We start from the raw sequence: 12,177 nt of genomic DNA on the forward strand, positions 1-12,177 counted from the left end.
TATCCCACAGATTAAATGATGTTGTCATAAGATAAAGAAATATCCCACAGATGAAATGATGCTGGGCCTCTAAAAGGAAGTAAGGACGCTGTGTCACTCAGTTCCCAGCTCTTCTGCTTCACTCTTGTCTCTACAGATCACCTGCTTCTGTTGTGCCACTGCCATTGCCAAAACCAGGCAAATACACAAATAGTGCTAAAAGGTAAATATTAAATTGTTGCTGCCCAAAATTGCCTTCTTTCTTTTTCAGTTACTGTTTCTAAAAGCAGATTTGGATAGAACCAGACTTATTCAACCAACTGACACTTAAGAATATAACCCAATTTTACAAAAACTGTTAGTCATCTGTTTAATATTCTGGAAAACCACTTGAACATTTTATAGTAGATACAGTAGTTGATATCATATAAGCATTTTCTGTAGCATTTTCTGTATAGTGTTAGTTAAAAGCAGAGTGCAAAATATTAAAATGTCAAACATAAGAGGCAATTTAATAGGGCTAAATATGTATGTATTAATATGCAGTCATCTGGTTGACTAAATAATACATTGATTAATGTGTATCTTTATTTAGCCTCTTTGTGATTGATTTTCCCTGTAGTAGCTTTGAGAACTAGAATACCCTAATGTAAAAAAATAATGTGCCACAGACAGTTGTGTGAAGCAAAATAAACACTATTTCCTCCAAAAAGATACGTACGCCCCTATTAATTTTTATACTGTTTCAGGGTGTTAAAGAAGCAGGAGTCTAGGAGATCCAGGGTGACAACATTTTAAAATCAACTCTGTCTTGAGGTTAACAAGGCACAGTCCTGGCCGGTCATGACCCATGTTCATAAGATGCTTATAGTTTAGGAAACAGCCTAAAAATACCTACAAGAACACGCTAATAATGCAGCAAGAGAACCTAGGTGTCCCAATTCTCATAAGAGTATATGCTTTTATCATGATAATAATAGTTATGCACACACTAAAATATCAAGGATCGTTTTCTTTAAATCAACAGAATGATAAATTTTGTCATGCCGTCAGCCTACCCACATGTAGCCACAACTTACTTTAGTCTGTACGTAGATAAAAGACCATTAAAAAAACTTAAAGAGGGTGCATTCCTCCACTTGCTTTCTGGGAACACCTTACTCTGTAATGCAATAGCCTTTAATAAATGATCTCTTTGGAGTAGCATTTAATGAACTATCTCTTCTCACTGCACTTTGCAGCTTATCTTGAAATTTTTCCTCTGTAGATCCAAGAACCCCCTGCTGGGATCTGGATCAAGACCCCTTTTTCCACTAACAAAGTCATTTATGCATATGCAAATATCAATTGATAAACCCTATTGATTCCTACTAAATTATTCCTAAGTCAGAGGTACTTCACTGGAAAACATACGTGGAATGCAATTGAAGTATTTTGATGATAGAAATGGATCCATGCACTTGAAAACTCAAAAAAAAAAAAGGGTGTTGAGAGTTGATTTTCAGAATTGAGGACCATAACTGGTATTACCACATGAACCAATAAGAAGCTTCTCACGATGTTTACAGTGTGGGTTTTGAGAATACTTACAGAAAATTTAACTTATAGGTGATTCATATATTTACATTTTTTGCACAGTGATTACAATAAGTTCACAGGTTTCAGAACTATTGTTCAAGACACCACATTGAAGTAGAAACAATTTTTTTCTTTTTTCGTTTTCTTTTTATTTATTTATTTATTTATTTTTTTGGAGATGGAGTTTCGCTCTTGTCGCCCAAGTGGAGTAAGTACAATGGCGTGATCTTGACTCACTGCAACCTCCGCCTCCCAGGTTCAAGCTATTCTCCAGCCTCAGCCTCCTGAGTAGCTGGGATTACAGGCATGTGCCACCACAACCAGCTAATTTTGTAATTTTAGGAGAGACGGGGTTTCACCATGTTGGCCAAGCTGGTCTCAAACTCCTGACCTCAGGTGATCCACCTATCTCTGGCTCCCAAAGTGCTGGGATTACAGATGTGAGCCACCATGCCCGGCATCATTTTTTTAAAAATGTAAAATTAGCCACCCTATCTGGAGCCTCACTATGGCTCTATGGATAGTAATATTCAAAGGGGTTGGATTTTCAGAGTTTCTCTCAGGCTAAGTTAGTTAAAAGTTTACCCCCAAGTAAGTAAACCCAGTATTTTCATACAGAATTATTAGAAACCAAACAATTTATATTCATAGAATCTCTGACAAATAAAACATTATTAATTTCAACATTAAGCTTTTTATTTTTAAAAACTAAATCTTCAAAGTGTTAATTTTGAGAAGAAACTAAAGTGGTTACTAAGAGCCCATACTGTTAAATAATAACTACACTAGGTTTTTCCATTTCAGTTTGTTACCCCACAGGCACTTAGGGATTACAAATAAACACAGGCCTAAACTGCAATTTTACAAAAGGATTTTCCCCTAATCATTTGTTGTATGGCAAGGATTACATCTCTGTTCCGTAGGCTATAGATCAATGGGTTCAGCATTGGGCTCAAAAAAGTATAAAAGACTGCAATTATTTTGGACTCCTCTACAGACTTCTCTGATGGAGGCCTTACGTACATGCAGAAGAGGGTTCCATAAAACAAAGTGACTATTGTCAGGTGGGAAGCACACGTAGAAAAGGCTTTGTGCCTGCCTTCAGCAGAACGGATCCTGAAGATCGCTGCAAAAATGAAAAGATAGGACAGAAGAATGATGAAGAGAGAGCTTGAGAGAGTAAAGCCTGCAACTACAAACATTGCCATCTTTTTGACACGGGTGTCAGAGCAGGCCAGCATGATAAGAGGAGGATCAGCGCAGTAGAAATGATTGATTTCAAGGGAGCCACAGAAGGATAAGTGAAAGGTCAGCAGTGTCTGAGAGAGCCCATTAAGGAAGCCATACATGTAAGGCACAGTGACCAGAGAGATGCAAATGTTCTTGGACATCCTGGAACTGTAATGTAAAGGGCTGCAAATGGCTACATAGCGATCCAATGCCATTGAAGCAAGGAAGTAAAACTCAGTGATCACTAGGGCGATGAAGAGAAGACACTGTGTGAAGCATCCAGCGTAGGAGATGGTCTTCTGTTCTGAGAGGAAATTGTGCAGCATATTTGGAGTAACATTGGAAGAATAGCAAATGTCTACAAAGGAGAGGTGACCAAGGAAGAAATACATGGGTGTTTGCAGTTGGGAATTGGTCCTGATCAGCAGGATCATGCACAGGTTGCCTGCCAGTGTGATTAGGTAGATCGCCAGGAACACCCCAAACAGGATCTTCTCTAGCACTGGGTCGTCTGTCAGTCCTAAGAGAATGAATTCTGTCACTATGGTGTGGTTTGGGGACAACATCTTCTTATTTCTTGAAAACTGAAAGTGACAAAGAATGTGAGGATTCTCTCTGATCCAGATTTGGCATTTGTTTCATCCATTTATCATTCACTCATTCATCTATTCATCTAGGCACCAATTACTTTTTTCAATAAACACATCAGAATTTCTGCACAACGTTTTCTCTTTATATGTGTGTGTTTTCTGTCTCTTTTTGTATCTCAAACCCACACACACACAGGCACATTCTCTATTTCTGTCTCTTATATATATACATTTATAAATTTATACATTAATGCATTTATACTTGTCTTCTTGGTGAATTCTACATTTGGTAATTATTTTCAAGGTTTGTGAGGGAACAAAAAAAACAAAGAAATGAATATCAGATATTAATATTAGCATCATTTAAATAAATAAATGTAGGAAGTCCAATCTTCAGTTTCCCTCCATGTCTGATATCTTATTATTTCAGATACAAAACAGAAGAAAAAAATTAAGGTAGCATTTTCACTTAAAACCTATGACTGTCGGCCGGGCGCGGTGGCTCACGCCTGTAATCCTAGCACTTTGGGAGGCCGAGGCGGGCAGATCACGAGGTCAGGAGATCAAGACCATCCTGGCTAACACTGTGAAACCCCATCTCCACTCAAAATACAAAAAAGTAGCCAGGCGTAGTGGCGGGCGCCTGTAGTCCAAGCTACCGGGAGGCTGAGGCAGGAGAATGGCGTGAACCCGGGAGGCGGAGCTTGCAGTGAGCCGAGATCACACCAGGGCACTCCAGTCTGGGCGACAGAGCGAGACTCCGTCTCAAACAAACAAACAAACAAACAAACAGAAACCTATGATTGTCAGTGAACATTAAATTAGTTAAACTTAGTGCTTGATATATGGCTAAGAATATACAAAACCAAGAACTGTTTTTTCACTTTGAAATTTTACCTGCCTGTTTATTCATGTACACTGACTGCATAGCTTGATTTTTTTGTGTGTATTACAATTCCTGGGGTTATTGGAGTGAACAAATTTTCCAGTTTCATGGAGCTCACATTATAATATGAGAAATAATGGTTAAACCCACAGAGAAAGATACATATTATAATTTCAAGTAAAAGCTGGGTCTGTGAAGAACAATGAATGTGAGATTCTTTTAGATGACTATTCAAAGTAGCCTTTTCTGAGAATGCAACATTTGAACAGTAAATAAACAATTATAGCACCTGAAGGAAGAGAGTGAAGTTTTTTTGTCTCCATTTATATGCCACTAAACTACTTATTAAAATATTGTTAGAGAATCACAGAACATTGTTAAAAGCAGTCTTTGCTGCCAACTCAAGCCACTCTCTCTGAGTTCTTCATGAAAATAAGCTATGACTGTAAAAATTATTGCTCAAAAATTTGCACCCTAAAGAAATTGCTTATTTAGCTCTCACATATACATCAGAGGAGCTTGCATATAATTGATTTTAGAGTCAATGAAATGTTAACATATGAATAGAAAAGTCCAGTGAAATTGATGAAAATATGGGTTTCCTCTATTGATTGGATACTAATCTCCACACACAGAAAAAGTTGTATTTTTAGTGAACAAATGTAGCAAATGACCTACCTGTTAATGTTAACTCACCATAGTTTGTAAAGCAAGGTGGCAAGATATATATTTCTTAGCTATATTCCCTAGAGTATTTTTAAAGTAATTCTAAAGAACCAATTATAATATCCTTTGTTCCTCAAGGGCTTAACATTTATTTGATAGTTTGAACAGCTAGATTCTCCTTTGAAGATGAAATCCCTATACAACATTTATGTACAGTTTTGTTACATGTGTTCATCAGAGCTTTAGCACAAACAGAGAAACTAGCCATCACTTTCAATAATATGGAAGAAGGAAAATATAGATAGATAAGTTTTGTAATTTTAATATAATAAAACCAAGAAGGTTTTCATCAGAACTCTCCAGTTTTGTCTATAGACACTGGGGTGAGGTCCTTTACTGAGGGTGAGGGGTAGAAAGGTGTGGCAGCTGAAAGACTTGAGGAAAGGAAGGATTTGTAAGGATGTGGAGAGCAGCAGAGTGACAACATAATCAGTAGAAGGAAGCAGAAGTATTGGTCAGGGCCCAGGTCCTTTGGAGGACGGACGTTCTGGATTTATGCTGGAACTAGTCTGCCCTATTGAAAGTCATTAACAAGCTAAGAATCAAAGACAGGTCTGAGACCAGGACCGTTTATAAAATTGATGAGTCATAAAATTGTTGACTTAGGAATAGGGCTGAAAATAGAAGGAAGAATATTTAAAACTTGTTTACACTGCATTTGTTAGATGATAAGGGAAGCTAGACATGTGTTCATTAGTCTGTATTTTCCAGTGCACTGATAGTTCCAGGTTAGCACAAATGAATCAAAATGGGCTCTGACCAAGACAGAAGAGGCATCCCTAATTCTCTTAGATCACAAATGGTGGTTATTCTTTGAGAAATCAGTCAACACAATATAGCTATATATCAAAATCAAAATGTAGATTTGTTACATCCCATGAAATTTGAGAGATTTGAGCATAGCTATTTTTTTCCTCAAATTGAGTTTAAAGCCTTATCTCAGTTTTTATCTGTATGGTTTTGATTCCTTGCACTAATTTAAAAGTAAAATGGTATTTCTTTTGACCCAGCCATCCCATTACTGAGTATATACCCAAAGGATTATAAATCATGCTGCTATAAAGACACATGCACACGTGTGTTTATTGGGGCACTATTCACAATAGCAAAGACTTGAAACCAACCTAAATGTCCAACAACGATAGACTGGATTAAGAAAATGTGGCGCATATACACCATGGAATACTATGCAGCCATAAAAAATGAAGAGTTCTTGTCCTTTGTAGGGACATGGATGAAACTGGAAACTCAATTTTCAGCAAATTCTCAGCAAACTATCGCAAGGACAGAAAACCAAACACCACATGTTCTCACTCATAGGTTGGAATTGAACAATGAGAACACATGGACATAGGAAGGGGAACATCACGCTCCAGGGACTGTTGTGGAGTGGGGGGAGGTGGGAGGGATAGCATTAGGAGATATACCTAATGCTAAATGACGAGTTAATGAGTGCAGCACACCAACATGGCACATGTATACATATGTAACAAACCTGCACATTGTGCACATGTACCCTAAAACTTAAAGTATAATAATAATAATAAAATAAAATAAAAAATAAATAAATAAATAAATAAATAAAAATAAAATGGTATTTCTTAAATATTTCTATAGAATGAAGGGTCATATAGGACTATAATACTGGTGTCTCTCATTTCCTCATCCCTTAATGCATAAAACTAATTGACAATTTGGCTCTTTGTTAAACAGAATGGCAGCTTTCAATTTGAAGGCAATATGCCCTATAGTATGTGTGTATGTATATGTATATTCATTTATTTGTTTTCTTACATATGTTAATATGCAATAACATTTCAATAAAACATAAGAGTTACAAAATGACTCTTCTGACTACAAATGATTCTGGCTCAATAATAACTGAATGGATAGACAAAAAGTAATGGATTGGTTATTTTTGATGAGGAAGAGCAAAGTCTCAAAAATTTTAATATGGGATCACATGATCAGATGTCCACACATTAGAAGGTGACATTAATTTACTTATAGATTTGGTTAGGGAATACAGATTTAGCTATGTATATTATACTAACTCAAAGATGAGTTTTACACATGCTTATTTTATGTTTCATAGAAAGCCTTCAGAAAGTTTTATATTATCTATCTATATTACTGAACACATTAGTTTATTTAGTCGATGTCACTTTGCTTCTGCTGGAAGGACCAATTGATGTATGTCTGCTAGTGGAACACCTAATGGATTTAGCTATACAAATGACACCATGTTCAGACAGTTGGATACATCCTATTGGCCCTTAAGATTTTACTTGTGTGTTTGTGATTACTCAATTGGCTATTTTTTATTTAAAAGTTGTAGTCGGTTCAATATGGTACTGAAAGTCCTACCTACTAAATAAAAAGTATACAAATTGAAAAGAAACAAATCTGTGTTATTCACAGATGACATGATGCTTTATTATAAAAGTTATTTTAAAATATACAAATGGGAAATTAAGTGTATATTTTGGAAGATGATATGATTACAATTACAAATTCAATACACAAAAACCACTCATACAGGCCAGGTGCGATGGCTCACAACTGTAATCCCAGCACTTTGGGAGCCTGAGGTGGGCAGATTATTTGAGGTAGGGAGTTTGAGACTAGCCTAGCCAACATAGTGAAACCGGTGTGATGGCAACGTGCCTGTAGCCCCAGCTACTTGGGAGGCAGAGGCAGGAGAATCCGTTGAACCTGGGAGGCAGACATTGCATAGAGCCAAGATTATACCACTTCACTCCAATCTGGGTGACAGAGCGGGACTCTGTCTAAAAAAACAAAACAAAACAAAATAAAAAAACCCAAAAACACTCATACAGTTACATAAAAGCAATACACAGTAGAATATAAAACTTAAAAATATCACATAAAATCATAAGCTACTCAGAAACAAAAATAAAAAGTGTGCAAAAGATACACACTGAAAAGCACAAACGTCTGCAGAGCGAAATTAAAGAAGACCTAAATAATAAAGACATACGTCTCACTTGTGCATTAGAATATTCAATATAGTCAATGTGTTAATTCTTCCTAAATCTATCAATAATTTTAAAGCCACTTCTATCAAATTTCAGCAGGATGATGTTTGCAAAACTTCATGATCTGATTCTAAAATAAATGCTGTCATAAAAACACAAAAACCCCTTTGGAAAGTGAACAAATATTGTTGCATAATTTGCACTACTTAAATGTCCATGGTCAGTACCATGTGTCCAATTATCTGACCATTGTAGTATTTACATAACTAATTAATTAGGTGCACTTCTAGCAGACATCAATCAATTGATCATTGTAATTGAAGTAAAATCAGGTTAACTAAACATTTAATGTCTTCAAACACAAGTTGAACAGGGGTTTCTGAAGGCTTTCTTGAAAAAAATAAAGTATGTGAAAAACTGTCCCTTAAGTTAATATCATCCACCTAAGAGTTACTAAGAAGTATAGCATTCAAAGCAGTGTGTGGATCTAAGGATGATGAAGAGGTTAAGTGTACAGAATAAAGAGATCACAAATAGATCCACTCGTATATGTAGCCAATGGATTTTTGAACAAAGGTGCAAAGGTATTTTAATGGAGACTGCTACTGGAAAATATGGATATGTTCATTAAAATATTTAACTTCCTATAACACACCACATGCCAATACTCAAAACTAAATTGGTGGAAATAAAAATTCTAAATGTAAATGCTAAATCTACAAGTCCTCCAGGAAAAAAAAAAAAATGGAAGAATAGCTTTATGATCTTGAGGAAAGCAAAGATTTCTTAGGAAGAAAATAAAAGCACTAATTGTGAATAAAATATATATATATAATTATATATATATAAAGTGTGTGTGTGTCATCAAATTTTAAAACACGCATTCTTCAAAATAATGCTAAGATAATGAAAAGGCAAACCATAGACTAGGAAGACTATTCATAGTAAGTAATTCTGACAAATGATTGGTATTAAGAACATATAAATATCTCCCACAATTCACTGGTCCAAATATAAACAGTTCAATTAAAAAAAAAAAGAAAGTCTAAGTTGTGAGCAGACACTTCATAAAAGAAGATACATGAACAGCAAACGATCACATGAAAAGAAATTCAACATCTGCATTTGTCAAGAAAATGTAAATTATGCCCATTATGAAACACCGCATAACAAAGATTTCCTCCTGGACCAAACTCTAGAAAGAATCCTCTGAGCACTTTCTTGACTAGGCCTCAACCTTGGCCTAAAAAGACTTGAACAAAACACAAACACAGTGGCTAACAGCTCAAGGCCATATCCCTGGGATGACTGTAGTACTCCTGGAAGAACCTGCCTGAGAAAACTCAAGGCTGCCAACAAAAGATACTGTCTGTTTCAGCCAATATGTGGAGAAAGAGCTCTTGTCTACTAGCTCCCAAGGGAGGGTAGGAGCCAGTTGGCAAACCTGGGTGGGTTTCACATGGATCAACACTCCTTTCACACTTTTTGTAATTTTTTTACTTCTCTGACTCTCTTGAGCCCTGCTCATGCCTCTTCCTATTTCCTCATTCTACCTTTAGAATACACAGTTATCTCTGTGAAAACAAAATTAGAGTTCAGTTTACAGTGAACCTACCTGTCCATTGCAATAGTATATTACTGAATAAAATCTGTCCTTACTACTTTAACTGGTAGCTGGCTTTGTTTATCTTTGTAACACTTCACACTCACTTCAATGGGAGGAATAAAAAATATTGACAATACAAAGATTAACAATGATAATGTGAAGCAACTGAAACTCTTATAACACATAACAAGATATAATAATGAAAATAATTCAATGGGCTGTGAAAAACTGGTGGCCCTTTATAAAATTTTATATAAATTTATAGTTCATCATAAAACTATGACACAGAAATTTTGCTCTTCAGTATTTATCCAAGGCAAAAGAAGACATATCCATACAGAGTCTCAAACATGTATCAGCAGATGCATAGATGAACCAATTATAGTATATCCCTATAATGGGTTACTACTCTCAGCAATAAAAATGAACAAACTGTTCATACAATCTTGATGAATCTATCATCTATCTATCTATCTATCTATCTAAGAATCAACTTTCTGATTGACATAGTAATGACCTTCCCAAAACTGTCCCTCCATGAAAACCATGAGAACACTAAAAAAAAGTCAAAGTCAACTGTTTCTGGATACTAGAAAGTAATCAAAAGCTTGCAACAATTCCGTGAGTATTTATTCAAGAAAAAATTCCTGAATCTTGGTAAGGACAGTGAACTTTGTGGCATCTTTACTTGCCCTATTCTCACACTTCCCAGCTGCACAGTAGCCTTGAAAATTGGAATTGTGATAACATGGCTGTACACATTTGTCAAACTTTACTGAACTGCACACTTAAAGTTCCTACATTTAATGTAAGTGAATTTACCCCATAAATTTAACTCAAAGGAAATTTTTTCTTTCCTCAGAATTAAGCAAATCAAATTACTTGCTAGATGTTTAACATCCAGAGAATCATTAAAAACAAAACCAAATAGAAAACAGAGCCACAAAGTTATCAGAGTTCTTTCCATACCCAGGATTACAACAAGTCAAAAGCTTAAGCATCGAAAGCTAAGGTGTTCCTCAAACCCATTTTCCCCTAGACTTTTTTAAAACAAATAATTCAAGTTGAGAGTCCAGAAAGCCACTAGTTCATCTCTTATCTTCTCTTTTTTTGTCCCCAGTATCATGGAAGCCTGGTTAAAAGAAAAAAAAAAAATAAGAAGAAGGAGAGAAGAAGAAGAGAAACTTAGATGTTAGATAAAGAGTTTTAAGTAGGAATTGGGTGTGGTCAAGGCAAATGGTTATTGGCCTTCTCTATGGAGATAAGAATCCAGAGTATCCATGTGGGCTGATGTGACCAGTGACTTTTCAAATTCCTTTCCAACACACAAATTACATTTTCCTTGAAAAGCAGGTACACTGAATAAGCATGGTAAGTAAAGTGATGTTTCTGTCAGGCAGTATAACAGAAACAGAAAAGAGAAAACACATGAAGCTTTCAACTCTAAGAAGCCTCAAAAAAGAGAAGGAAAACAGTCACATTTTTAAGGTTTTAGTCTCAAAGCTATATGTGTTCTGTCATGTCTTATGATCTGATTTTGTTCTGATCCTCATAAGGATGGTCAAACTGCTAATTTAGTCCAAACAATTATGTGCGAGTATCATATACTACTAAGAAGTTTCTGATTGTTTTAAAAAATAATGTTAGAACAAATAGACAGTCAGCAAGCAAAATAAATTAATGTAGTGATCTAATATGGCAAGTTATGGGGAAAATGACAATGCATCAGTCAATCTCAAATCATGCACTTTCAACATATAACAATATTAGCATAGCAAACCAGTGCGAAAATGTCTGGACACACTTGTATTTTTCCACCAACAGAATTCTATGCATTATAATAGGCAGTGCAGTAAATATGTTTGCAAAATGGACATAGGAATTGTGCATGTGAGATCATCTAATGTATCTCCTAATAGAGTAGACACTAGTTTTAACATTCTTTCTCACATCTGAACAGGATAAACTATCATTAACAAACTCTTAGTTAATAACACCTTCTTACCTAACTAGAAGTTTGTTAATGAACAGAGCAGTGGGTAAGAAAAAAATTTTACTGCAAAAAGTAAAATAAATGGTAGTAGCTATTGTAGAGCAAAAATTATTCTCGTTGTATGATTGCACCTCCACCAGCACCATACATGAACATACACAATACATACACACCAACAAACACACATACACCTGCTGTGCACTTGAGCCATTTCAGGCAAGAGGAGTCATTTCCAAAAACAAGCAGCAGCCTTGTCTGTACTGAGATTGTCCTGAAAGTATGTAAGGCTGAGGCCAACATGTGAAGAGTCTGTAAGACACAATATAAGCTAAACCAAATTATGAAATAGGAATTGAGAGAAAGGCAGTGATACAGAGAGGGCAACAGAGAGAAAGAGACAGAGACAAGGAAAGACAACTCACAACACTGAAAATATGTCCAAAGAACAAGGACACCTTGCTTTAAGAAGAATAAAACATTATCCAACAGATCACCCAACCATATATAAAAGAACTTTTCATTTCAAATACTGACTTTTAAAGATTGTAGCTATTAAATATTTTCAGCTCCAAATGTCAGAATCAACAATT

General features: G+C 35.6%; 1 protein-coding gene across 1 annotated transcript; it reads right to left on the reverse strand.

Annotated features, from left to right (window-relative positions):
- Positions 1 to 2,405: 2,405 nt before the first annotated feature.
- Positions 2,406 to 3,353, reverse strand: OR5M10 (olfactory receptor family 5 subfamily M member 10). Its single transcript, NM_001004741.1, has one exon. It carries the CDS (start codon positions 3,351 to 3,353, stop codon positions 2,406 to 2,408), a length of 948 nt encoding a protein of 315 aa, NP_001004741.1.
- Between the last annotated feature and the right edge of the window lie 8,824 nt (positions 3,354 to 12,177).

This window comes from Homo sapiens, chromosome 11 (assembly GCF_000001405.40).
Source record: "Homo sapiens chromosome 11, GRCh38.p14 Primary Assembly".
Classification (NCBI taxonomy): Eukaryota; Metazoa; Chordata; class Mammalia; order Primates; family Hominidae; genus Homo; species Homo sapiens.

Bases quoted from the DNA above. Each gene is read 5' to 3' on its own strand.
- OR5M10 (NM_001004741.1), bottom strand. From the start codon at position 3,353: ATGTTGTCCCCAAACCACACCATAGTGACAGAATTCATTCTCTTAGGA.